This window comes from Homo sapiens, chromosome 5, assembly GCF_000001405.40.
Source record: "Homo sapiens chromosome 5, GRCh38.p14 Primary Assembly".
In the NCBI taxonomy this organism is placed as follows: domain Eukaryota; kingdom Metazoa; phylum Chordata; class Mammalia; order Primates; family Hominidae; genus Homo; species Homo sapiens.
Window position 1 is genome coordinate 17,502,816 of NC_000005.10, and position 27,733 is coordinate 17,530,548.

At 45.0% G+C, this 27,733-nt stretch overlaps 4 protein-coding genes and 1 pseudogene across 4 annotated transcripts, besides 4 other annotated features; 4 read left to right on the forward strand and 1 right to left on the reverse strand.

The window, feature by feature from the left end:
- Positions 9,017-9,423, reverse strand: H3P18 (H3 histone pseudogene 18; annotated as a pseudogene).
- Positions 14,993-15,496: an enhancer, noted in NCBI's record as "OCT4-H3K27ac-H3K4me1 hESC enhancer chr5:17517917-17518420 (GRCh37/hg19 assembly coordinates)". NCBI's record gives its function as "activates a minimal SCP1, AML or CMV promoter by ChIP-STARR-seq in primed H9 embryonic stem cells {active_cell/tissue: H9 hESC(primed)}" and the evidence as "EXISTENCE:reporter gene assay evidence [ECO:0000049][PMID:30033119]".
- Positions 15,497-16,001: an enhancer, noted in NCBI's record as "OCT4-H3K27ac-H3K4me1 hESC enhancer chr5:17518421-17518925 (GRCh37/hg19 assembly coordinates)". NCBI's record gives its function as "activates a minimal SCP1, AML or CMV promoter by ChIP-STARR-seq in naive H9 embryonic stem cells {active_cell/tissue: H9 hESC(naive)}" and the evidence as "EXISTENCE:reporter gene assay evidence [ECO:0000049][PMID:30033119]".
- Positions 15,552-16,148, forward strand: TAF11L3 (TATA-box binding protein associated factor 11 like 3). The gene has a single exon (NM_001401700.1). The coding sequence runs from the start codon at positions 15,552-15,554 to the stop codon at positions 16,146-16,148; it is 597 nt and encodes a 198-aa protein (NP_001388629.1).
- Positions 16,149-18,985: 2,837 nt separating this feature from the next.
- Positions 18,986-19,582, forward strand: TAF11L4 (TATA-box binding protein associated factor 11 like 4). Its single transcript, NM_001401697.1, has one exon. It carries the CDS (start codon positions 18,986-18,988, stop codon positions 19,580-19,582), a length of 597 nt encoding a protein of 198 aa, NP_001388626.1.
- Positions 19,223-19,890: an enhancer, noted in NCBI's record as "OCT4-H3K27ac hESC enhancer chr5:17522147-17522814 (GRCh37/hg19 assembly coordinates)". NCBI's record gives its function as "activates a minimal SCP1, AML or CMV promoter by ChIP-STARR-seq in naive H9 embryonic stem cells {active_cell/tissue: H9 hESC(naive)}" and the evidence as "EXISTENCE:reporter gene assay evidence [ECO:0000049][PMID:30033119]".
- Positions 22,023-22,686: an enhancer, noted in NCBI's record as "OCT4-H3K27ac-H3K4me1 hESC enhancer chr5:17524947-17525610 (GRCh37/hg19 assembly coordinates)". NCBI's record gives its function as "activates a minimal SCP1, AML or CMV promoter by ChIP-STARR-seq in primed H9 embryonic stem cells {active_cell/tissue: H9 hESC(primed)}" and the evidence as "EXISTENCE:reporter gene assay evidence [ECO:0000049][PMID:30033119]".
- TAF11L5 (TATA-box binding protein associated factor 11 like 5) lies at positions 22,420-23,016 on the forward strand. The gene has a single exon (NM_001401699.1). The coding sequence runs from the start codon at positions 22,420-22,422 to the stop codon at positions 23,014-23,016; it is 597 nt and encodes a 198-aa protein (NP_001388628.1).
- A 2,837-nt stretch (positions 23,017-25,853) lies between these two features.
- On the forward strand, positions 25,854-26,450 carry TAF11L6 (TATA-box binding protein associated factor 11 like 6). Its single transcript, NM_001401698.1, has one exon. It carries the CDS (start codon positions 25,854-25,856, stop codon positions 26,448-26,450), a length of 597 nt encoding a protein of 198 aa, NP_001388627.1.
- Positions 26,451-27,733: the final 1,283 nt, after the last annotated feature.

The window sequence follows — 27,733 nt, forward strand, 5'->3', positions numbered from 1 at the left end:
TGGGTTCTCCATGCAGCCCTGGGAGGGCTGAACCTCTGGACTGTGCCTCATGGGAGAGATGATAGGTGAGAGTTAGCTAGAATCTAGGTGCCAAAGAGATCCCAAAAGTTTACATTTCATGATCATCATGGAAGTTACAATGAAAAAGACATTTCAATACAGTTGCACATTAGATGACTTCCGTGACTGCCGCAAAACACCAAGGGTGCCATCGTGAGGTGTCTCTCAGGTTCTCTGAGGATGAGTTGAAACCGGGAGGGATGGATGGAAAATCAAAAAGGTCACTCCTCTATTAGGGATGCTCCGGGGGACATGTTTTCTCCCCCAAAGTGATATTCGTGGAAATTTGGGGGTAGCCTTTGGGGGAAGCTGAGACCTTTTGATCAAATGGTCATATATGCCTGTCACTGAGGCATCCTGGCTCCTTTTTTTACTTTGACGCCAGGGCTGAGTCTTGTTTCCATTGCCCATTTTGGAAATGGCATGAGGCCCAGTGAAGGCCCTGAGTTCACTGAACCACTGAACCCAGGTCACAGCTGATACCTTCATATTTCTGGCTCCATGAGAAAAAATAAAGCAAACAAAAACAAACAAACAATCAAACAATACACATACAAAAGGCCCCTATTTTGGTACACTATTAACAGGCTTCTCTGATACTTGTAGTAGAAATTTAATACCCTTGTATGCAATGCACGGACCATGCACAGAACAGGAAATCCCATGACAATCAATACTCACAAAATAAGTTCATATTCCTGTTTTAAAAGGAGAGCTACTTTTGTAGAAAATCTTTAGGTTCACAGCAAAATCAGGCAGAAGGAGCAGAGATTTCCCACATCCTCTTTCCCCACATATGCATAGCCCCCTTCACTATCAACTTTCTGCTCCAGAGTAGTATGTTGGTTACAGTCATTCAACCTGCACGGACACAGCACTCTGACTCCAAGACCATAGCTCTCCTTAGGGACTCACTTGGGTGTTGTACGTTCTATGGACTCGAGCAAAGGTGTAATTACATGTATCCACCGTTATTGTATTCTGTGGAGTAGTTTTACTTCTGTACAAATGCACTGTGTCCCATCTCTGCACTCCCCCTTGACCCTTGGTCTCTTGCAACCACTCAACTATTGATTTATTTCTTTGTATTTAAAACAGACGCATCTCATTGTATATATTTCTTATGTACAAAATGCTGTTATAAAGTATGAACACATTGTCTAATATCTAAATTTGGTAACTGACAGCCATTACCTGACATATGTACTATTGTGGTGAGAATATTTCACATCCACGCTAATAGCATTTCTCAAGAATATGATCTATTGTTAAACCATAGTCACCATGTTGTAATATAGTCCTTGAGCTTATTCTCCCTATATAACTGAAATGTTGTGTATTTCGACAAACGTCTTCTCAATCCTTCACCCACAGCCACCCAGCCCCTGACAACCAGAATTCTTCTTTTTGACATCTATTAGATTAACTTTGTGAGATTCCACATATCATTGAGATGACGTGGTATTTGTCTTCCTACACCTGGCTTATTTCACGTAGCATGATGTTCTCCAGGTGCACCCATGTGTCACAAATGACAAGATGTCCTTCTTTAAGACTGCATAGTATTCCATTGTGCATGTATATCAGATTTACCCCATCCTGTCATCCAGTTTTGGACATTTAGGTGAATTCCATATCTTAGCTATTGTGAATTAACATGAGAGTGCAGATATCTCTTCAATACTGATTTCATTTCCTTTTGGTGTATACCTGGCAATGTGGGATTGCTGGATCATATGGTAGCTCTATTCTTTCCATTTTTGGAGGAATGTCCATCCTGCTTTCTATAATGGCTGTCCTAATTTACGTTCCCATGAATAGTGCAAGGGTTCCCTTTCCTCCGCATCCTCATTAACAAGTGTTGTCTTTTGACTTTTTGATCATAGACATCCTAATGAGTGTGAGGTGGTATCTTCTTTCAGTTTTAATTTGCATTTCTCTGATGATTAGTGATGTTGAGCATATATATGTATATACATACCTGTTGGCCACTGTATGTCTTCTTTTCAGAAAGGTATGTCATTTAGGTCCTTTGTCCGGTTTTAAATTGTGTTGTTTCTTGCTATTGAGTCATTTGAGTTCCTAGAGTATTTTGGACAGTAATTAATCCCTTATATGATGTAGGGTTTGCAAATATTTTCTCTCATTTTGATTTTGTCTCTTCATGATGTTTATTGTCTTGTCGGCTTTGCAGATTTTTTTTTTTTTAAGTTGGATGCAATCCATTTGTCTATTCACCCTTTTGTTGTCTGTGCTTTTGGGTCATATTCCAAAAGTTTTTGGCTTAACCAGAGTCAATGAGAATGTCCCCTGTTTTCTTCTAGTTGGTTTATACTTTCTAGTTTTTAATTTATTTGGATTTATTCTTGTGTACAGTAAGATATAGGGGTCCAATTTCATTTTTCTTCATGTGGCTACCAGGTTTTCCTATCACCATTGTTGGAAGAAACTGTGGTTTTGTGGTGGTGGGTTGTTGGCACCCTTTTAAACTATCATTTGGCCGTATATGGATGGACTGATTTCTAGACTCTCTGCTCTGATCCAGTGGCTTAGGTCTCTGTTTTTATGCCAGTGTTATGAAATTTTGGTTCCTACAGATTGATAGCATACTTCAAAGACAGAAAACCATGAAATCTTTTTATTTTCTCTTTGTATTTGCCTCTGACATCATCACTCAGAGAGATTTCCAAGGAGATATTGATTCTTTGCTTTTTTAGTTTTTTTTTATGATTGTGAAGATAGAGTGATGACATGGAATTTCCTTAGGAGTCACCCCAAAAACTGGAACTCCATTTTATTTTTGATATATATTTATTACTGTTTATCTTATATACATGGTATTTGGCAATTGCATGTCAGTATAATTACAAATAGGCTTCAATTACACAAAATATTTAATGCTCAAATCCTACAATGAGAGGACATTATATTTTAATACAATAATCTGCAAAATAAACTAAAAATAAAACATCACATAGTATAATAATATAGTTATTATATGCATTTCTGTTTTAGACAAGCATGAAACACACATCAATATGTTATTTCAGCCATTAATATAGGTTACACTGGGACCAGCTCTTTGGAGGCAAATGTGTGGAAACGAATGAAGAGATTAGACAGGGTCTCTGGGGTTTGTGTTTCTCTGTGTAGTTTTTCATGCAGCTCCTACAGTGTGTTACCATCCTAACATCATGAAAGATCACTCCGTGACATAAAACAATCTTGGTCTGAATGTGAAAAAACCCATTTTAGAGGAAAAACTAATTTTTAATTTCATTTTTATTTTTGCAAGCTGAAAAACGGTTGATTTCCCAGGAAAAGTTATGGAAAAGTATTAAATGTTTACAAGGTAACTCTTCCAGTGCTCTTAGAAAGCTCGGGACCTTCTGGATAGAGTATTGTAAGGGAAGACTTACTGTTTGTTTTATCTCTTTAAAATCACATTTGAGCAAAAACATCCAAAGTCATAGCAACTTCAGGATTCAGTGTGAATCCACCATAGTCTCTTAAAAGGATGTCTTTTTTCTCTATCTGAAAACAGCTCCCCGTCCACAGGATGCCCAAGGCCCATGCACCTTTCTTCCTCCAACTAGGAAGACCCAGAAAAGCACCCACTCATGCATGGACCTCAGAGAACCAAATATAATGACAATGATTGTTAGTTTTTTGAGACAGAGTCTTACTCTGTTGGCCAGGTGGAAGGGCAGTGATGTCAATTTGGCTCCCTTTAACTTCCACCTCCACAGCTCAATCAGTCCTTCTACCTCAGCCTCCAAGTAGGTGAAAGCACAGGCACCAGCAACCACAACCAACTAATTTTTTTTTTTGAAGGGAGGTTTTGCCAAGATTCCTGGCCTAGACAGGAACTCCTGAGCTCAACTGATCTGCTGCCCTTGGCCACCCAAAGTGCTGGTTTTACAGAGATGAGCCATTGTGGCTGGTCTGAGATATAAATATGATTGAAAGGGATTATGAAACCGGCTGCTGCCTTCATCTGGGTGAGACCAATATCTTCTGAGAGGAAGATGATTATTTTATTTTATTTTTGTACTGGATGTTGGGGAAGCGGCACCTGGGCTGTCCTGTATGTAAGGCCTTTTTCTAATGCCCGGGGTGTAACAGGGGCATTTTCCCACATCTCACACATGTCCAGAGCTTCTCCTACCACCTCCCCAACAAAGATCTGTGTCATTACAGCCATGTCCATGGCAGTAACCTGGTTCTAGGACACTGACCTGCACCTGACGGAATGCATCAGACTTCTACAGGGTGCCTCTATCCCTTTCCCACCATAAACACAACCACACTGGTTATTCTGCCAACCCTAATGTGAAGTGACTTGTGGATACAGAGTCTATTCATACAGAGTCTATTCATATTGTAGAAAGTAGAGATCAATGTATGTTCATAGCAAACTAGGAGGAACAGCCCAGGTGACAGGGAACATTGCAAACATGGAACTGCCAGCCCGTGAGTTGAAATCCATGTACAAGATGCTCCCACACACTGAGCCCCTTCCAACCCACCCCAGACTTACCAGCAGGAGAAGATGCAAACCGAAATGGTCACTCCTCTACCAGGGATGCTCTGGGAGCATTTTTCTCTCCCAAAGTGACATTCATGGAAATCTGCGTGTAGCCTTCGGGGGAAGCTGAGGTTTTTGAACTAATGGTCTTATGTGCCTGTCACTGAAGCCCCCCCGTGTGTTTTTTACCTTGATGGAGGGGGTGAGCCTTCTTTCCATTGCCTGCTTTGGAAATGCCATGAAGCCCCGTGAAGCCAGCCCTGAGTTCACTGAGTTGCTGAACCGAGGACTCAGCAGCTACCTTCATACTATTGGCTTCATGAGTAAAAGCAAAGCAGAGTAAAGAAAACAAACAAATAAACAACACACCAACCCAAGGCCCTTATTTCAATACACGGTGCACAGGCTTCTCTGACAACTTATAGTATAAATTTAATGCCCATGCCTGCAATGCATATACCACACACAGAACAGGAATTTCCAGGATAATCAATACTCACAAAATAAGTTCACATTTCTCTTTTAAAAATAGAGATCATTTTGTAAAAAACCTTTAGGTTCATCCCAAAATTGGGTAGAAGGAACATAGGTCCCCAATATCCTCTCACCACACATATGCATAGCCCCCTTCACTATGAACTTTCTGCCCCAGAGTGGTACATTGTCTACAACCTTTCAACCTACATGGACACATCACTGTGACTCCAACTCCATCGCTCTCCTTAGGATTCACTTGAGTGTTGTATATTCCATGGATTCAAGCAAAGGCATAATTGCATGTATCCACCATTATTGTATTCTATGGACTAGTTTCACTTCCATGCAATCGTACTCTGTCCAGTCTCTGCACTTCTGCTTCACTCTCGGTCCCTTGCAACCACTCAACTATTGACTTGTGTATTCATATTTAAAGTGTGGACACATCTCGTTGTATATATTTCTTATGTGCAAAATGCTGTTTTAAAGTATGTACACATTGTCTAATGTCTAAATCTAGGTAATTGACATTCATTACCTCACATATATATTACTGTGGTGAGAACACTGCACATCCATGTTAATAGCATTTTTCAAAAATACGATCTGTTGTTAAGTCATCATGTTATACAATAATCCTTGAACTTATTCCCCCTATGTAACTGAAATGTTGTGTATTTTGACCAATGTCTTCTCAAATTCCCCACCCCCTGCCACCACAGCCCCAAACAACCACCTTTCTTCTCTTTGACATCCATCAGACTACCTTTGTGATGTTCTACATAGCATTGAGATTATGTGGTATTTGTGTTCCTACCTATGCCTGACTTATTTCACTTAGCATGATGTTCTCCAGGTGTACCCATGTGTCACAAATGACAAGATTTCCTTCTTCTTTAAGGCGGTATAGTATTCCCTTGTGTATATATGTCAGATTTTCTTCCTCCTGTTATCTGCTTTTGGACATTTAGGTGGATTCCCTATCTTAGGTCTTGTAAGTAGTGCTGCAATCAATGTGGGAGTGCAGATATCTCTTCAATAGACTGATTTCCTTTTGATGTACACCTCCCAGTGTGGGCTTGCTGGATCATATGGTAGCTGTATTTATTTAGTTTGTGGAGGAAGGTCCATACTGTTTTCTATAATGGCTGCCCTAATTTACATTCCCAGGAAGAATGCAAGGGCTCCCTTTCCTCCACATCCTCATCAACAAGTGTTGTCCTTTGATGTTTTGATCATAGCCATTCTAATGAACATAAGGTGTTATCTTCTTTCAGTTTTTATTGGCATTTCTCTGGAGATTAGTGATGTTGAGTATATATATATACTAGTAACAGCAGGTATATATGCATATATAGCCGGTGGCCACTTTCATGGCTTCTCTTCAGAAGTGTCTATTATTGAGTTCCTTTGCCCAGTTTTTAAATTGTATTATTTCTTGGTTTCGAGTCCTTGGAGTTCCTAGTATATTTTGGACAGTAAATAGTTAATTCCTTATTGGATGTGGGGTTTGCAAATATTTTCTTTCTTTATGATTCTGTCTCTTCATGGTGTTGATTGTTTTGTCAGCTCTGCAGATTTTTTGTTTTTTCATTTGGATGCAATCCATTTATGTATTTTCCCTCTTGCTGTCTCTGCTTTTGGGACATATTCCAAAAATCATTGGGTTAGCCATTGTCAATGAGGACATCCCCTGTTTTCTTCTAGTAGGTTATACATTTGTTACCGTTTATCTTATATTCAGGGTATTGGATCAATTACATGTCAGTATAATTACAAATAATGTTCAATTACACAAAATATTTAATGGTCAAATCCTACACTGAGAAGGAATTTTATTTCTAATTTTTGTGTTCTTATGGAATAATTTGGAAAATCAAGTAACAATTGAACATTATCTAGCATGAATATGTATTGTCATCATATGTATTTCTGTTTTAGAGAAGCACTAAACAGAAATAAACATGTTATTTCAGCCATAAACCTAGTTTACATTGGGGCAATTCCTTGGAGGTGAAGGCGTGGAAAGGAGTGCCCAGATGAGACGGGGTATCTGGGGTCTGTCCTTCTCTTAGTTTTCCATGTGGCTCCCAGAGTGTGTTACCATTCTGACATCATCAAACATCACTCCCCAACATGAAACAGTCTTGGTAGGAAAGTAAAAAGAGTCATTTTAGAGAAGAATACTTTTTTAATTTCATTTTTATTTTTACAAGCTGGAAAAGAGGTGCTTGATTCCCCAGGAAAAGTTATGGAAAAGTACTAAATGTTTCCAAGGGCAGCTACTCCAGTACTCTTAGAAAGCCCAGCACCTTCAGGATAGAGTATTGTAAGGGAAGACTTCGTTGTGTCTGCTTAAAATCACATATGAGCAAAAATCGTAAGTTATATCCACTTCAGGATTCGGTATGAATCCACCATAGTCCCTTAAAAGGGTTTCTTTCTTCTCTCTGAAAGCAGCTCCCCTTCCAAAGGATGCTCAAGGCGCATGTGCCTTTGTTCTTCCAACTAGGAAGCCCTAGAACAATGCCTGCTCATACATGGACCTCAGAGACCCAAACATGATGATAATGATTGTTATTTTCTTGAGCCAGGGTCTCACTCTGTCAGCCAGGTAGGAGGGCAGTGGTTCCATCTCAGCTCACTATAATCTCCACTTCTGGAGCTCAAGAGATCCTCCTACCTCAGCCTCTGGAGTAGCTGAAACAGCAGGCACCAACCACCACATTTAGCTTTTTTTTTTTCCATTTTAATTGTAGAGGGGAAGTTTTGTCATGTTGCCCAGGCTGGTCTGGAACTCCTGAGTTCAAGTGATCCACCAACCCTGGTCTCCCAAAATGCTCTCTGATCATAGAAATAAGCCATTGTGCCCCATCTGAGATACAAATATGATTGGATGACATTATTAATCAGGCTGCTGCCTTCATCTGGGTGAGACTAATGTAAGATGTAAGAAAGATGTTAAGTCATGGATAAGTCCAGGAGGGGCTGAGATACTGAAGCTCCAGCGTACAGAGGGCTCTGTCATAGAAAGACTGGAACCAGTACTTTTTCCTCTAAGATCAGGCCTTTCTTTCTAGGCTGCAGCCCAGAGGAAGATGACTTTGCTTTGTAGTAGGTGTTTGGGAAGTGGCCACTGGGCTGTCCCCTGAGAAAGGTCTCCCTCCAATGCTTGGGCTGCAGTGGGGCATGTCTCCCCACATCTCAAACATAAGCAGGACCTCTCCTACCACTTCGCTAACCAAGACCTGTATCATTCCAGCCATAGCCACGGCTATGACCACATTCTAGGACGCTCAGCTGCTGCTGATGGACTGCATCGGACTTCTAACAGGTGCCTCTCTCCCTTTCCCACCCACAAACAGACCCACACTGGTTTTTGCCTCCCATAATGTGAAATGACTTGTGTATAGAGACTCTATTCACATTTTAGAAAGTAGGGTGTAATGTATGTTCATAGCAAATACACACACAGGAACAGCCCAGGAGACAGGGAACATTGAGAACACGGAGCTGCATATAGGAAAAGTCAAAGTGTGGATCGCATCTGCTGTTTGATGGAGGAGACATTATCTATTTGCCACCAATAAGAAATTTATTTGGTTTTCAATAACATTAATGAACAAATTTTTTCACAATTGTTCTTGATTTGAACTGTTGAAAGGCGTTCAGTGAGAAATTTCCGGTTGACATGAATGCATTAGACTCTCAATGTAGATGGAAAGTTTACAAACAAAAGAAAACAGAAACAGGCATACCCGTTATATCTGCCTGTGTTGTTACTCCTAATCATGTGCAGGGCTGCTTTTGGACCCCGTGAAGGACATAAAAGCAAAAGTGAAGAGAACTGCTAATATCAGAACTATGATTAACACAGAGAAATTGAAAAACACAACCAAACGGAAACAAAGCCGTCTAGAGCGCAGCGTTTCCCAGGAGCGTGGGCTCCTCAGCACCCTCTCCGCGGAGGTGGCGGGACAGCTGCATGTCTCTGGGCATGATTGTGACATGCCAGGGATGGATAACCCATGGGTTGTTGTCTTTAAATAGGGGGACCAGGTAGGCCTCGCTGTTCTCCTGAAGTCGCCAGTGGCCGCACATTGGAAGCGCAGGTCTGGGTTGATGGCCTGGGTGATCTCACGCATTAGGCATTGGAAGGTCAGCTTGTGCAGAAGCAGCTGCGTGGACTTATGGTACTTCCTGATTTTGTGCAGTGCCAGGGTGCCAAGCCTGTGGCGGTGAGGCTTCTTGATCCCTCATGTAGCCAGGACCCTCTTGCCAGCAGCTTTGGTGGCCAACAGCTTCCTGGGGGCCTGCCAGGCGGTGGCTTTGAGGTCAGTCTGCTTAATGCGAGCCATGGTGTAGGGCTGTGGCCTTTCCCTTGTCACTGGGCTGAGCCTGCTGAACTGGAAGCAGTGCTGGTACCAGACAGCAATGGTGTTGGGGCTGTGGGCAGGATTCAGAGTCTGTGTGTTGGGATCTATGCAGAAGGTGCTCCCATACACTTAGCCCCTTCCAACCCAGCCCCATACTTACCAGCTTACTGATCAGTGGGTCTGAGGTCCCTGTATTCAGTCTCCTTGAGTAGCCTTGGGATTCCTAGGTCTACACACAGCAGTGGGGAATCTTTCTCCCAGGCAGTCTTGCTCTAGCTGGAGATCTCTGTGATCTCAGCCAAATTCAGTCATTTATAGGAGGCTTGGATGATTGGATTAGACCCACCCAGCTACCTTCCACTGCGTTCTGTGCTGCAGCAGATGCTTAACCTAATCAGGGCTGTGAAAGCCCATTAAGTCCCTGCATTCTTCCTCACCCAAGAGAGGTACAGACCTCTGGATTGTGCATTGTGGGAGGGATGGTAAATGAGATCTGTCACTTAACGTTTTGGGTGCCGAATGGATTCTGAAAGTTTACATTTTATTTACATCAAGGAAATAGTTACTTAAAGTTGCATGTTAGGCCAGGCATGGTGGCTCACGCCTGCAATCCCAGCACTTTGGGAGGCCGAGGTGGATGGATCATGAGGTCAACAGATTGAGACCATCCTGGCTTAACTCGGTGAAACCCCGTCTCTACTAAAAATACAAAAATTGACCAGGTGTGGTGGCATGCACCTGTAATCACAGCTACTCGAGGTTGAGGCAGGAGAATTGCTTGAACCTGGGGGGCAGAAGTTGCAGTGAGCCCAGATCACGCCACTGCACTCCAGCCTGGGTGACAAAGTGAGACTCCATCTCAAAAGAAAAACAAAAACAAGTTGCACGTTAGACAACCTACATGTCTGTGGAAAAACACCAAGGCTTGAGATCATGAGGTCTTCATCAGATCCCATGAGGATGAAGTGAACTGGGAAGGGGAATATGGAAACCTGAAATGGCCACTCCTCTATGAGGGATTCTCCTGGAGCATTTTTCTCTTCAAAGGTGATGCTCCTGCAAATCTGCTGGTAGCCTCCTGGGGAAGGCAAAGCTGTTGTGAGAAAACAGTGACATGTGACTGTCACTGATGCCCCCTTTGGCTTCTTTTCCACTTTGAATGTGGATTTGATGCCTGAACAGAGCTATCCTGTTGTTGCCCAGGATGAAAACACCATGAGGTCCTGAGAAGTCAGCCCCGACCTCTCTGAATTGCTGAACCGAGGTCACAGCTTAGCTAAGTAAATATTGAACACATTTCATTATTTGAATAGCTTTAGCAGTACCAAACTGTTTTGGGCACCATAGATGAATTGTACGGTGGCGAAGTCTATTTCAATTTACTCTTAATGAACTTTTGTGATACCTGTAATATAAATTATTGTTCAATTCAATGCAGATTTCATGCACAGAATGATAAATTTCATGATATCAATATTCCAAAACACATTCCTGTTAGCATTTTTTTAATTAGAGCTTAGTATTATTATTTTCTAGTTGTGTAGTTTTTTAAAAAAAATTATGTTTCATTAGCTTGTAAAAACCACTCATAAGTGGCTTTTGTTCCATACATGAATTGTATGGTGTTGAAGTCAAGAATTTTAGTGCGCTCATCACGTGACTACTACACCTACACTGCACCCAGTAGGCAGTTTTTCATCCCCCCATCACCCTGCCACTTCTGAGTCTCTAATGTCTGTGTTACCACTCTGTATGCCTTTCCTACCCACAGCTTAGCTCCCACTTCTAAGTGAGAATGTGCACCATTTGGCTGTAGATTCCTGAATGACTCCACTGAGAATAATGGCCTGTAGTTTCATCCAAGTTGCTGTAAAAGACATGATTTCATTGCTTATGGCTGAGTAGTAGTCCATGGCATATATGAACTCCATTTAACTCTACTCACTCATCAGCTGGTGGGCACTTAGGTTTATTTTATATCTTTGCAATTGTGAATTGTGCTAGGATAAACATATGTGTGCTGGTCTGTTAGGTAGAGTGAGTTTTTTTCTTTTGTGTGTCTACCCACTACTTGGATTACTGGATCAAATGGGGGATGTACTTTGAGATATCTTCATGCTGTTTCCCACAGAGATTACACTAATTTGCATTCCCACAGCAGTGCCTAAGCATTCCCTCTCACCACATCCACCCCAGCATCTATCGTTTTTGACTATTGAATAAGGGTCATTCTGGTGGGTAAGGTGATACCGCACTGTGGTTTTACTTTGCATTTCTCTGATGATTAGTGATGCAGGGCATCTTTTCCTCTGTTTTTTTTTTCTTTTTTTTTTGGAATTGTTGTATCTTCTTCCGAGAAATTTCTATGCACATCACTTGCCCACTTTATAGTGGGATTATATTTGTTTTTTCTTGTTTATTTGTTAGAATTGCTTGTAGATGCTGGATCTGTTAGTCCTTTGTCAGATGCATAGTTTGCAGATGGTTTGTCCCATGCCATAGGTTGTTTGTTTACTAAGAGGATTATTTCTTTTGTTGTCCAAAAGCGTTTTCTACTCAATAAGAAATTTGATGATAATAAAATGAAAAACTCATGGTATCTGAATATGTAAGGCACTGTCAATTATGTATCCACATTCAGTATTTGTGTAATAATTAAATAAGTAACAATACAAGAAACCATCCTGGAACTATACTGGATAGACTTAGAGCCTCTAACACATTGCTTGGTTTTCTGACAGACCAAAACCATTAAGAAATTCCCAGCCTGGCTAATGTAAACAAAAATTCAGAGTAATACTTGAAAATATCAGATTTTTAAATTTCTAGAGTAGGAGAGTTCAACTTCACAAATACAGCATTTCCTCCAGGATACATAGCATGTACAAAAGTGTTCAATAAATATTTGTTGAAAAATAGCTTTTTGAGTCTGTTGTCTACAAAGGGGATGTCAGGGATCAAGAAAACAGCCATCTAATTAGTATGTTTCTTATTTTTAAGTTAACAATTAGAGCCACATAATGGTTTTGGGGTGTAACAGTTTTACCACTTTCCTCTGCCTGCACCTTTATGGGTGCATCCGGGAAGGCTCTGCTTGTTATGAATGCCTTTGTATACATTCTGCAAAATAATAATGGTGGTTCTGACATCATTAAAAAAATTTTAATTGGGCATAGACAGAAATGGAAGAAATGCTGAAGAAAATTAGAAGGGATTTCAGAGCAAGAAATATAGTAATGGCATAAAGAATGATAAGTATTTTCATGGGAAAAACTTTAAATGCTTTTATCCTTTTAAAAGCAATTCAAATATGTTCCTAACATTGATGCTTAGAAAGCAGCTAAGTGTGTTGTAGGGTACAAAGTGTCTGTAAATTTTCTCTGGAGCATTATAAAATGTGACCTGGATCTGGCCCATAGGTTTCTGTGGAAGTCTATCTAATGCAATCAGAAGAGAGTGGATGGCTGAAGTTACTATCATCTGTGAGGTTTATGTTTTGGAAGAGTTAATCTAGGAGGCTCTTCTTATTTTTTTCCACTTGCATCTTATCAGTAAGAGCTTTTTTTCAAAGAAAATGAGATAGCTTCTTGCTCTATCACCTAGGCTGGAGTGCAGTAGCAAGATCTCTGCTCACGGCAACCTATGCCTCCTGGGCTCAAGGGATCCTCCCACCTCAGCCTCCCAAGTAGCTGGCACCACTGGCATGCACATTGTGCCTGGCTAATTTATGTATTTTTTATAGAGAAGAGGTTCTGCTCCATTGTCCAGGCTGATCTCGAACTCCTGGGCTCAAGTGATCTGCCTGCCTCAACCTCCCAAAGTGCTGGTATTACAGGCATGAGCCACCATGCCCGGCCAGTAAAACATTTTTGAATAGCCCACATATATATCTGGTTATTTATAAGCTTTATTTATGGGCTATAGTCATTTTGTATATAAACATTAGTTAATTTAATTCTTTTCCTTAGATAAAAATAAACATAAATCAACATTAAATTTTGTTCTTTGTGCCTCAATTATCTTGGATAGTTTGGGGGCATGGGGCCTTCTAATCTTTTCATTTAAGAAGTCATTAATTTACATCTCTCTCTAGGGTGTTTATCTCTCTAGATAGAGACCTACTAGAGTTTAAGAGAAAAATGAGGAGTATATAAAGCTTAGATAAATTCAGTGTCTTTTTAGAGTATCGTGAGAGATAACTGTATATGGTAATTAATTTTTATGAGAAGTTTATGTATCTGTTTTATTTCAGGGGTTAATTTTCAAGTTTTGGATGGTTCTCCCTCTTTGAGTTGCCATTTGTTTCTGCTTATAACCTACCGATCATGACTTCAGTACCAGTAAATATTGGAAACGAAAGGCCCGATGTGACTTACAAAGGTTCCAATGTAAATATGTTTTCCTGGTAAAGATGGGTTTCACCATGTTGTCCAGGTTGGTCATGAACTCCTGACCTCAGGAGATCCACCCAACTCCGCCTCCCAAAATGCTGAGATTACAGGCATGAGCCACCGTGCCTGGCCAATAATTTCATATCTTCTACCAACTATTTTTGAATAAACAAAGGCTCTTTAAAAGTCAGATATTTAAGTGTCTGCTTTATCTTCTGAAGTAGTTTTTATGCCATTTATCAACATAATTTTCCCTAAATGTGATGTATATCTTTGTGCATGACATAATTTTATGTCTCTTTGGTGCTTCTCTGTGACCTATGTATACATACACATGTAATATATAAAATTGAAGTCTGGGAGCAGTGGCTCATGCCTGTAATCCCTTCACTTTGAGAAATCAAGGTGGGGCAGATCGTGTGAAGTCAGCAGTTCAAGATCAGCCGGGCCGGAATGGTGAAACCTCACATCTACTTGAAAAAATACAAAAACTAGCTCGGCTTGGTAGTGTGCAAATTTAGTCCTAGCTACTATGGAGGATGAGGCAGGAGAATTGTTTAGGCCAGGAGGCAGAGGCTGCAGTGAGCTGAGATCAGGCCACTGTAATCCAGCCTGGGGGACAGAGCAAGACTCTGTCTCAAAAATAAATAAATAAATGTATAAAATAAAATAAAATTGAAATCGTATTTTCATATTCCAATCACCCAGCCCAGTTTATTTTCAGAGTGCCTGATAAATCACTTGTTTCCCTATGAGTTAGGGATTTTTTTCTCAGATACTTAAATTTTTTTCTCAGATATTTAAATTTTCTAATGAGCAACATCGTAAAATGTCTCAGTTTTACTGTAAATAGTTTCTTTATTGTTTCTTTATTGTTGTGAGGAATCATTCGATTCTGTGAAGAAGACTGAATTCTGAAATGCCCCCTGCATTTCCCGCCCCTCAGAGAGTCGCCCTGTGTCTGCCCCTCCCTTGGGTGTGGGCGGAAGCACGAATTGATGTGCCCGCCCGACTTCCTCATTAGATTGGGGGGTATCCTGAACCAACGGCTGCTAAGGGCTGGGTCTAATGCAGTCATCTGAGCCCTGTATAAGGGAGGACTGAACCCCCCTGTGATTACGCTCCCCTGTGGGAGATTCCCCAGCACTGGCTGTGCACACCCAGGGAGCCTCACGGCCCAGACCTGGGCAGCACGGGTAGGAGCTGAGAGCATCCTCACGGCAGCAGGCAGAACAAACAAGTGGGCCTGGGGCTCACAACCCTGAGGCATTGTTGAATTCTGCCACCAACTCGAATCGGATCGAAGCCAGACCCTTCTCAGGTGGAGGCAACGACCGCACAGCCAGACCCATCCTGGAGGTCCCTCGTGGGACTCTGAGCAGGAGGCAGTCACTTGGCCTAGCAGAACTTCTGACCTGTGAGCTGGTGTTTGTTTTAAATACCCCAAATTGGTGAGAATTCGTTCTGCATTGACCTAAAACTAACATACTCTCCTTCCACAAGTTTCTTCACACTGTGGAAGCGAGAAAATTCAGTGTGTGTGTTTGTGTGTGGGAAGGGGCGGCCGGGAGCCGTGTCCGGTTACGGCGAAACTGGCTCAGCAGAAACACAGCAGCTAAAATCTTTGAAAGGTTCTCATCGCAGATCCACAATCAAACCACCCCAGCCGGAACTTCTGCCTGTACAGCTGCTGTCACGGAGCAGACTTGAATCTCACCCATGGAGACCGGCAGGCAAACAGGTGTGTCTGCTGAGATGCTCGCCATGCCCCGAGGTCTGAAGGGCAGCAAGAAGGATGGAATCCCTGAGGACCTAGACGGGAACTTGGAAGCACCCAGGGATCAGGAAGGTGAGCTCAGGAGTGAGGATGTCATGGACCTCACAGAAGGTGACAGTGAGGCCTCAGCCTCAGCTCCTCCTGCAGCCAAAAGACGGAAAACACATACGAAAGGCAAGAAGGAGAGCAAGCCCACCGTGGATGCGGAGGAGGCTCAGAGGATGACAACCCTGCTGTCTGCCATGTCTGAGGAGCAGCTGTCCCGCTACGAAGTGTGTCGCCGGTCAGCGTTCCCGAGAGCACGCGTTGCGGGTCTGATGCGGGCTATCACTGGCAGTTCGGTGTCGGAGAACGCGGCCATTGCCATGGCTGGAATAGCCAAGCTTTTTGTTGGAGAGGTGGTGGAAGAGGCCCTGGACGTGTGTGAGATGTGGGGAGAGACGCTCCCGCTGCAGCCCAAGCATTTAAGGGAGGCCGTTCGCAGGTTAAAGCCCAAGGGCCTCTTCCCCAACAGCAACTGCAAAAGAATCATGTTCTAGGCCCAGGGCCAGAGGGCAGGGTCTGTTTGTGCAGGAATAAGTACCGCGTTCATCTTCCAATGACAGGAGTGTGTGCGCCGGAGCTCCCGCATCTCAGTCCCACCTGGATTTACCCACGATCTTCGTGTCTTAAAATGCGAAGTTGCCCTTACCTGGATGAAGACAGCAGATCGCTTCATAGGAGCCTTGGCTAAATCTTTGGGCATTTTAATGGGATGTGGAGGCGTTTCTCTATGTCTTTCCAGCTGGAGGAATCAAGGTGCCTGGGCCTAGAGCATCCTGTGGACAGGCAGCTGCATTCAGAGAGGGAAGCCCTTCCCAGGAGATCTGTATGGTTTCCTGCTGAAGCCTGGTGTAGCTCTGTCTTAGCTTGTAGGCTTATGTCTGGGTTCCAGTAATTGGAGCTTGCAGAAATGTTTCCCCGATTGTTGTTCTTCTGCAGAATTTCAACGCTCATATGTATTTTTGTGAGTCACCACGAAAACAGTTAAACTGATCAACCGTTTTCCAAACTGCAGACACCAAATTGAAATCACAAAGCACTTTCTTTTTTTCCCCTAAGTTGACTCTTCTATTCCTGCCTGCTGTGCTTTATGTCAGCAAGTGACCCTTTCCTGTATTATAATGCAGTATAGTATAGATGCATCATGTAAGACCAGAGAGAAACCGATTCCAAAACCACCTTTCCTCAAGCCGCCGTTTGTAACGACCATATGGGCGGTTTGAAGGACACAGAGAGAGCCTACTGACACTTCACTTTCGCTACACGTGGTGATTTTTCCAGTGCTTCCGGAGACACTGAAATTTAGTTCCAAACATTGCCTTAGAGGATTCTTCATTTTATTCATTCTACCGATGATCCACTCAGAAAATCAAACCTGAGTACGGAGACATTGGAGAAGTCGTTAAAGTATTGGACCAAGTCGGTTCGTCACGAGTGACAAAGTTATTCCACACTCTACTTGTACATACTCTGCTTTGCCTTCATGATGGCAAAGAGTAATTTTTCGCTATAGAGTAAAAACCCGAGATTTATTACGGAATCAGCGTGAACCTTCCCAGCACAGCTCACAGAGCATACGCCAAAAATTACAGTGTGATTCAGTTTCAAAAATTGTCTGTAGTGACCTGTGAATTCACAGCTCGTGAGGACATTCTTTAGTTCGGCTGAAGCCAAAAAACCTGGAACCATCGAAATGGGAAGAAGTGGAGTCTGCCAAATTCTGCCTCTTACACTTTCAGCTACCACGCCATGTTCAACTATTGTACTTGATAAGGATTGGAAACTTAAGGTACTGATAATTTCAGCAGAGTTTCACCAGAGTAGTATTTCTTGTGAGAAAGCCATAATCTCATCAGTAACGCCTTTCTAAAAGATCCAACAGAAAATATGAACTAGCAACTCATCCTGACAAGGAAGTAAAACTCAGGAAAAATCCTAAGGCAGAGCAGCGTCAGGCTTCAGTGTGAAACTATCATAGTCTGGGCGCGGTGGCTCACGCCTATAGTCCCTTCACTTTGGGAAGCCAAGGTGGGGCAGATCACCTGAAGTCAGCAGTTCAAGACCAGCCTGGGCAAAATGGCGAGACCTCGTCTCTACTTGAGCAAATACAAAAATTTGCCCGGCGTGGTAGCGCGCACATTTAGTCCCAGCCACTCTGGAGGCTGAGGCAGGAGAATCCGTTGAGCCTAGGATGCCGAGGCTGCAGTGGGCTGAGATGAGGCCGCTGTAATCCAGCCTGGGAGACAGAGAGAGGCACTGTCTCAGAAATAAACAAATAAAATAAAATAAACTAAAATAAAGTGACGTAAAATAAAATTGAAATAATATTTTCACGTTTCCCTCACCCAGCCCATTTTATTTTCAGAGTATTTGATAAACCGCTTTCTTCCCTGTGCGTTAGAGAGTTTTTTTTCTCAGACATCGAAGTTTTCTAATGCTCAACTTCGTAAAATGTCTCATTTTTACTGTAAATAGTTTCTTTACTGTTGTGAGATGTGAACTTTGCGATTCTGTGAAGAGGACTGAATTCTGAAATGCCCCCTGCATTTCCCGCCCCTCAGAGAGTCGCCCTGTGTCTGCCCCTCCCTTGGGTGTGGGCGGAAGCACGAATTGATGTGCCCGCCCGACTTCCTCATTAGATTGGGGGGTATCCTGAACCAACGGCTGCTAAGGGCTGGGTCTAATCCAGTCATCTGAGCCCTTTATAAGGGAGGACTGAACCCCCCTGTGATTATGCTCCCCTGTGGGAGATTCCCCAGCACTGGCTGTGCACACCCAGGGAGCCTCACGGCCCAGACCTGGGCAGCACGGGTAGGAGCTGAGAGCATCCTCACGGCAGCAGGCAGAACAAACAAGTGGGCCTGGGGCTCGCAACCCTGAGGCATTGTTGAATTCTGCCACCAACTCGAATCGGATCGAAGCCAGACCCTTCTCAGGTGGAGGCAACGACCGCACAGCCAGACCCATCCTGGAGGTCCCTCGTGGGACTCTGAGCAGGAGGCAGTCACTTGGCCTAGCAGAACTTCTGACCTGTGAGCTGGTGTTTGTTTTAAATACCCCAAATTGGTGAGAATTCGTTCTGCATTGACCTAAAACTAACATACTCTCCTTCCACAAGTTTCTTCACACTGTGGAAGCGAGAAAATTCAGTGTGTGTGTTTGTGTGTGGGAAGGGGCGGCCGGGAGCCGTGTCCGGTTACGGCGAAACTGGCTCAGCAGAAACACAGCAGCTAAAATCTTTGAAAGGTTCTCATCGCAGATCCACAATCAAACCACCCCAGCCGGAACTTCTGCCTGTACAGCTGCTGTCACGGAGCAGACTTGAATCTCACCCATGGAGACCGGCAGGCAAACAGGTGTGTCTGCTGAGATGCTCGCCATGCCCCGAGGTCTGAAGGGCAGCAAGAAGGATGGAATCCCTGAGGACCTAGACGGGAACTTGGAAGCACCCAGGGATCAGGAAGGTGAGCTCAGGAGTGAGGATGTCATGGACCTCACAGAAGGTGACAGTGAGGCCTCAGCCTCAGCTCCTCCTGCAGCCAAAAGACGGAAAACACATACGAAAGGCAAGAAGGAGAGCAAGCCCACCGTGGATGCGGAGGAGGCTCAGAGGATGACAACCCTGCTGTCTTCCATGTCTGAGGAGCAGCTGTCCCGCTACGAAGTGTGTCGCCGGTCAGCGTTCCCGAGAGCACGCGTTGCGGGTCTGATGCGGGCTATCACTGGCAGTTCGGTGTCGGAGAACGCGGCCATTGCCATGGCTGGAATAGCCAAGCTCTTTGTTGGAGAGGTGGTGGAAGAGGCCCTGGACGTGTGTGAGATGTGGGGAGAGACGCCCCCGCTGCAGCCCAAGCATTTAAGGGAGGCCGTTCGCAGGTTAAAGCCCAAGGGCCTCTTCCCCAACAGCAACTGCAAAAGAATCATGTTCTAGGCCCACGGCCAGAGGGCAGGGTCTGTTTGTGCAGGAATAAGTAACGCGTTCATCTTCCAATGACAGGAGTGTGTGCGCCGGAGCTCCCGCATCTCAGTCCCACCTGGATTTACCCACGATCTTCGTGTCTTAAAATGCGAAGTTGCCCTTACCTGGATGAAGACAGCAGATCGCTTCATAGGAGCCTTGGCTAAATCTTTGGGCATTTTAATGGGATGTGGAGGCGTTTCTCTATGTCTTTCCAGCTGGAGGAATCAAGGTGCCTGGGCCTAGAGCATCCTGTGGACAGGCAGCTGCATTCAGAGAGGGAAGCCCTTCCCAGGAGATCTGTATGGTTTCCTGCTGAAGCCTGGTGTAGCTCTGTCTTAGCTTGCAGGCTTATGTCTGGGTTCCAGTAATTGGAGCTTGCAGAAATGTTTCCCCGATTGTTGTTCTTCTGTAGAATTTCAACGCTCATATGTATTTTTGTGAGTCACCACGAAAACAGTTAAACTGATCAACCGTTTTCCAAACTGCAGACACCAAATTGAAATCACAAAGCACTTTCTTTTTTTCCCCTAAGTTGACTCTTCTATTCCTGCCTGCTGTGCTTTATGTCAGCAAGTGACCCTTTCCTGTATTATAATGCAGTATAGTATAGATGCATCATGTAAGACCAGAGAGAAACCGATTCCAAAACCACCTTTCCTCAAGCCGCCGTTTGTAACGACCATATGGGCGGTTTGAAGGACACAGAGAGAGCCTATTGACACTTCACTTTCGCTACACGTGGTGATTTTTCCAGTGCTTCCGGAGACACTGAAATTTAGTTCCAAACATTGCCTTAGAGGATTCTTCATTTTATTCATTCTACCGATGATCCACTCAGAAAATCAAACCTGAGTACGGAGACATTGGAGAAGTCGTTAAAGTATTGGACCAAGTCGGTTCGTCACGAGTGACAAAGTTATTCCACACTCTACTTGTACATACTCTGCTTTGCCTTCATGATGGCAAAGAGTAATTTTTCGCTATAGAGTAAAAACCCGAGATTTATTACGGAATCAGCGTGAACCTTCCCAGCACAGCTCACAGAGCATACGCCAAAAATTACAGTGTGATTCAGTTTCAAAAATTGTCTGTAGTGACCTGTGAATTCACAGCTCGTGAGGACATTCTTTAGTTCGGCTGAAGCCAAAAAACCTGGAACCATCGAAATGGGAAGAAGTGGAGTCTGCCAAATTCTGCCTCTTACACTTTCAGCTACCACGCCATGTTCAACTATTGTACTTGATAAGGATTGGAAACTTAAGGTACTGATAATTTCAACAGAGTTTCACCAGAGTAGTATTTCTTGTGAGAAAGCCATAATCTCATCAGTAACGCCTTTCTAAAAGATCCAACAGAAAATATGAACTAGCAACTCATCCTGACAAGGAAGTAAAACTCAGGAAAAATCCTAAGGCAGAGCAGCGTCAGGCTTCAGTGTGAAACTATCATAGTCTGGGCGCGGTGGCTCACGCCTATAGTCCCTTCACTTTGGGAAGCCAAGGTGGGGCAGATCACCTGAAGTCAGCAGTTCAAGACCAGCCTGGGCAAAATGGCGAGACCTCGTCTCTACTTGAGCAAATACAAAAATTTGCCCGGCGTGGTAGCGCGCACATTTAGTCCCAGCCACTCTGGAGGCTGAGGCAGGAGAATCCGTTGAGCCTAGGATGCCGAGGCTGCAGTGGGCTGAGATGAGGCCGCTGTAATCCAGCCTGGGGGACAGAGCGAGGCACTGTCTCAGAAATAAACAAATAAAATAAAATAAAATAAAATAAAGTGACGTAAAATAAAATTGAAATAATATTTTCACGTTTCCCTCACCCAGCCCATTTTATTTTCAGAGTATTTGATAAACCGCTTTCTTCCCTGTGCGTTAGAGAGTTTTTTTTCTCAGACATCGAAGTTTTCTAATGCTCAACTTCGTAAAATGTCTCATTTTTACTGTAAATAGTTTCTTTACTGTTGTGAGATGTGAACTTTGCGATTCTGTGAAGAGGACGGAATTCTGAAATGCCCCCTGCATTTCCCGCCCCTCGGAGAGTCGCCCTGTGTCTGCCCCTCCCTTGGGTGTGGGCGGAAGCACGAATTGATGTGCCCGCCCGACTTCCTCATTAGATTGGGGGGTATCCTGAACCAACGGCTGCTAAGGGCTGGGTCTAATGCAGTCATCTGAGCCCTTTATAAGGGAGGACTGAACCCCCCTGTGATTACGCTCCCCTGTGGGAGATTCCCCAGCACTGGCTGTGCACACCCAGGGAGCCTCACGGCCCAGACCTGGGCAGCACGGGTAGGAGCTGAGAGCATCCTCACGGCAGCAGGCAGAACAAACAAGTGGGCCTGGGGCTCACAACCCTGAGGCATTGTTGAATTCTGCCACCAACTCGAATCGGATCGAAGCCAGACCCTTCTCAGGTGGAGGCAACGACCGCACAGCCAGACCCATCCTGGAGGTCCCTCGTGGGACTCTGAGCAGGAGGCAGTCACTTGGCCTAGCAGAACTTCTGACCTGTGAGCTGGTGTTTGTTTTAAATACCCAAAATTGGTGAGAATTCGTTCTGCATTGACCTAAAACTAACATACTCTCCTTCCACAAGTTTCTTCACACTGTGGAAGCGAGAAAATTCAGTGTGTGTGTTTGTGTGTGGGAAGGGGCGGCCGGGAGCCGTGTCCGGTTACGGCGAAACTGGCTCAGCAGAAACACAGCAGCTAAAATCTTTGAAAGGTTCTCATCGCAGATCCACAATCAAACCACCCCAGCCGGAACTTCTGCCTGTACAGCTGCTGTCACGGAGCAGACTTGAATCTCACCCATGGAGACCGGCAGGCAAACAGGTGTGTCTGCTGAGATGCTCGCCATGCCCCGAGGTCTGAAGGGCAGCAAGAAGGATGGAATCCCTGAGGACCTAGACGGGAACTTGGAAGCACCCAGGGATCAGGAAGGTGAGCTCAGGAGTGAGGATGTCATGGACCTCACAGAAGGTGACAGTGAGGCCTCAGCCTCAGCTCCTCCTGCAGCCAAAAGACGGAAAACACATACGAAAGGCAAGAAGGAGAGCAAGCCCACCGTGGATGCGGAGGAGGCTCAGAGGATGACAACCCTGCTGTCTGCCATGTCTGAGGAGCAGCTGTCCCGCTACGAAGTGTGTCGCCGGTCAGCGTTCCCGAGAGCACGCGTTGCGGGTCTGATGCGGGCTATCACTGGCAGTTCGGTGTCGGAGAACGCGGCCATTGCCATGGCTGGAATAGCCAAGCTCTTTGTTGGAGAGGTGGTGGAAGAGGCCCTGGACGTGTGTGAGATGTGGGGAGAGACGCCCCCGCTGCAGCCCAAGCATTTAAGGGAGGCCGTTCGCAGGTTAAAGCCCAAGGGCCTCTTCCCCAACAGCAACTGCAAAAGAATCATGTTCTAGGCCCACGGCCAGAGGGCAGGGTCTGTTTGTGCAGGAATAAGTACCGCGTTCATCTTCCAATGACAGGAGTGTGTGCGCCGGAGCTCCCGCATCTCAGTCCCACCTGGATTTACCCACGATCTTCGTGTCTTAAAATGCGAAGTTGCCCTTACCTGGATGAAGACAGCAGATCGCTTCATAGGAGCCTTGGCTAAATCTTTGGGCATTTTAATGGGATGTGGAGGCGTTTCTCTATGTCTTTCCAGCTGGAGGAATCAAGGTGCCTGGGCCTAGAGCATCCTGTGGACAGGCAGCTGCATTCAGAGAGGGAAGCCCTTCCCAGGAGATCTGTATGGTTTCCTGCTGAAGCCTGGTGTAGCTCTGTCTTAGCTTGTAGGCTTATGTCTGGGTTCCAGTAATTGGAGCTTGCAGAAATGTTTCCCCGATTGTTGTTCTTCTGTAGAATTTCAACGCTCATATGTATTTTTGTGAGTCACCACGAAAACAGTTAAACTGATCAACCGTTTTCCAAACTGCAGACACCAAAATGAAATCACAAAGCACTTTCTTTTTTTCCCCTAAGTTGACTCTTCTATTCCTGCCTGCTGTGCTTTATGTCAGCAAGTGACCCTTTCCTGTATTATAATGCAGTATAGTATAGATGCATCATGTAAGACCAGAGAGAAACCGATTCCAAAACCACCTTTCCTCAAGCCGCCGTTTGTAACGACCATATGGGCGGTTTGAAGGACACAGAGAGAGCCTATTGACACTTCACTTTCGCTACACGTGGTGATTTTTCCAGTGCTTCCGGAGACACTGAAATTTAGTTCCAAACATTGCCTTAGAGGATTCTTGATTTTATTCATTCTACCGATGATCCACTCAGAAAATCAAACCTGAGTACGGAGACATTGGAGAAGTCGTTAAAGTGTTGGACCAAGTCGGTTCGTCACGAGTGACAAAGTTATTCCACACTCTGCTTGTACATACTCTGCTTTGCCTTCAGGATGGCAAAGAGTAATTTTTCGCTATAGAGTAAAAACCCGAGATTTATTACGGAATCAGCGTGAACCTTCCCAGCACAGCTCACAGAGCATACGCCAAAAATTACAGTGTGATTCAGTTTCAAAAATTGTCTGTAGTGACCTGTGAGTTCACAGCTCGTGAGGACATTCTTTAGTTCGGCTGAAGCCAAAAAACCTGGAACCATCGAAATGGGAAGAAGTGGAGTCTGCCAAATTCTGCCTCTTACACTTTCAGCTACCACGCCATGTTCAACTATTGTACTTGATAAGGATTGGAAACTTAAGGTGCTGATAATTTCAATAGAGTTTCACCAGAGTAGTATTTCTTGTGAGAAAGCCATAATCTCATCAGTAACGCCTTTCTAAAAGATCCAACAGAAAATATGAACTAGCAACTCATCCTGACAAGGAAGTAAAACTCAGGAAAAATCCTATGGCAGAGCAGCTTCAGGCTTCAGTGTGAAACTATCATAGTCTGGGCGCGGTGGCTCACGCCTATAGTCCCTTCACTTTGGGAAGCCAAGGTGGGGCAGATCACCTGAAGTCAGCAGTTCAAGACCAGCCTGGGCAAAATGGCGAGACCTCGTCTCTACTTGAGCAAATACAAAAATTTGCCCGGCGTGGTAGCGCGCACATTTAGTCCCAGCCACTCTGGAGGCTGAGGCAGGAGAATCCGTTGAGCCTAGGATGCCGAGGCTGCAGTGGGCTGAGATGAGGCCGCTGTAATCCAGCCTGGGGGACAGAGCGAGGCACTGTCTCAGAAATAAACAAATAAAATAAAATAAACTAAAATAAAGTGACGTAAAATAAAATTGAAATAATATTTTCACGTTTCCCTCACCCAGCCCATTTTATTTTCAGAGTATTTGATAAACCGCTTTCTTCCCTGTGCGTTAGAGAGTTTTTTTTCTCAGACATCGAAGTTTTCTAATGCTCAACTTCGTAAAATGTCTCATTTTTACTGTAAATAGTTTCTTTACTGTTGTGAGATGTGAACTTTGCGATTCTGTGAAGAGGACTGAATTCTGAAATGCCCCCTGCATTTCCCGCCCCTCAGAGAGTCGCCCTGTGTCTGCCCCTCCCTTGGGTGTGGGCGGAAGCACGAATTGATGTGCCCGCCCGACTTCCTCATTAGATTGGGGGGTATCCTGAACCAACGGCTGCTAAGGGCTGGGTCTAATGCAGTCATCTGAGCCCTTTATAAGGGAGGACTGAACCCCCCTGTGATTACGCTCCCCTGTGGGAGATTCCCCAGCACTGGCTGTGCACACCCAGGGAGCCTCACGGCCCAGACCTGGGCAGCACGGGTAGGAGCTGAGAGCATCCTCACGGCAGCAGGCAGAACAAACAAGTGGGCCTGGGGCTCACAACCCTGAGGCATTGTTGAATTCTGCCACCAACTCGAATCGGATCGAAGCCAGACCCTTCTCAGGTGGAGGCAACGACCGCACAGCCAGACCCATCCTGGAGGTCCCTCGTGGGACTCTGAGCAGGAGGCAGTCACTTGGCCTAGCAGAACTTCTGACCTGTGAGCTGGTGTTTGTTTTAAATACCCAAAATTGGTGAGAATTCGTTCTGCATTGACCTAAAACTAACATACTCTCCTTCCACAAGTTTCTTCACACTGTGGAAGCGAGAAAATTCAGTGTGTGTGTTTGTGTGTGGGAAGGGGCGGCCGGGAGCCGTGTCCGGTTACGGCGAAACTGGCTCAGCAGAAACACAGCAGCTAAAATCTTTGAAAGGTTCTCATCGCAGATCCACAATCAAACCACCCCAGCCGGAACTTCTGCCTGTACAGCTGCTGTCACGGAGCAGACTTGAATCTCACCCATGGAGACCGGCAGGCAAACAGGTGTGTCTGCTGAGATGCTCGCCATGCCCCGAGGTCTGAAGGGCAGCAAGAAGGATGGAATCCCTGAGGACCTAGACGGGAACTTGGAAGCACCCAGGGATCAGGAAGGTGAGCTCAGGAGTGAGGATGTCATGGACCTCACAGAAGGTGACAGTGAGGCTTCAGCCTCAGCTCCTCCTGCAGCCAAAAGACGGAAAACACATACGAAAGGCAAGAAGGAGAGCAAGCCCACCGTGGATGCGGAGGAGGCTCAGAGGATGACAACCCTGCTGTCTGCCATGTCTGAGGAGCAGCTGTCCCGCTACGAAGTGTGTCGCCGGTCAGCGTTCCCGAGAGCACGCGTTGCGGGTCTGATGCGGGCTATCACTGGCAGTTCGGTGTCGGAGAACGCGGCCATTGCCATGGCTGGAATAGCCAAGCTCTTTGTTGGAGAGGTGGTGGAAGAGGCCCTGGACGTGTGTGAGATGTGGGGAGAGACGCCCCCGCTGCAGCCCAAGCATTTAAGGGAGGCCGTTCGCAGGTTAAAGCCCAAGGGCCTCTTCCCCAACAGCAACTGCAAAAGAATCATGTTCTAGGCCCACGGCCAGAGGGCAGGGTCTGTTTGTGCAGGAATAAGTACCGCGTTCATCTTCCAATGACAGGAGTGTGTGCGCCGGAGCTCCCGCATCTCAGTCCCACCTGGATTTACCCACGATCTTCGTGTCTTAAAATGCGAAGTTGCCCTTACCTGGATGAAGACAGCAGATCGCTTCATAGGAGCCTTGGCTAAATCTTAGGGCATTTTAATGGGATGTGGAGGGGTTTCTCTATGTCTTTCCAGCTGGAGGAATCAAGGTGCCTGGGCCTAGAGCATCCTGTGGACAGGCAGCTGCATTCAGAGAGGGAAGCCCTTCCCAGGAGATCTGTATGGTTTCCTGCTGAAGCCTGGTGTAGCTCTGTCTTAGCTTGTAGGCTTATGTCTGGGTTCCAGTAATTGGAGCTTGCAGAAATGTTTCCCCGATTGTTGTTCTTCTGTAGAATTTCAACGCTCATATGTATTTTTGTGAGTCACCACGAAAACAGTTAAACTGATCAACCGTTTTCCAAACTGCAGACACCAAATTGAAATCACAAAGCACTTTCTTTTTTTCCCCTAAGTTGACTCTTCTATTCCTGCCTGCTGTGCTTTATGTCAGCAAGTGACCCTTTCCTGTATTATAATGCAGTATAGTATAGATGCATCATGTAAGACCAGAGAGAAACCGATTCCAAAACCACCTTTCCTCAAGCCGCCGTTTGTAACGACCATATGGGCATCCTAGGCGCAACGGATTCTCCTGCCTCAGCCTCCAGAGTGGCTGGGACTAAATGTGCGCGCTACCACGCCGGGCAAATTTTTGTATTTGCTCAAGTAGAGACGAGGTCTCGCCATTTTGCCCAGGCTGGTCTTGAACTGCTGACTTCAGGTGATCTGCCCCACCTTGGCTTCCCAAAGCGAAGGGACTATAGGCGTGAGCCACCGCGCCCAGACTATGATAGTTTCACACTGAAGCCTGACGCTGCTCTGCCTTAGGATTTTTCCTGAGTTTTACTTCCTTGTCAGGATGAGTTGCTAGTTCATATTTTCTGTTGGATCTTTTAGAAAGGCGTTACTGATGAGATCATGGCTTTCTCACAAGAAATACTACTCTGGTGAAACTCTGTTGAAATTATCAGTACCTTAAGTTTCCAATCCTTATCAAGTACAATAGTTGAACATGGCGTGGTAGCTGAAAGTTTAAGAGGCAGAATTTGGCAGACTCCACTTCTTCCCATTTCGATGGTTCCAGGTTTTTTGGCTTCAGCCGAACTAAAGAATGTCCTCACGAGCTGTGAATTC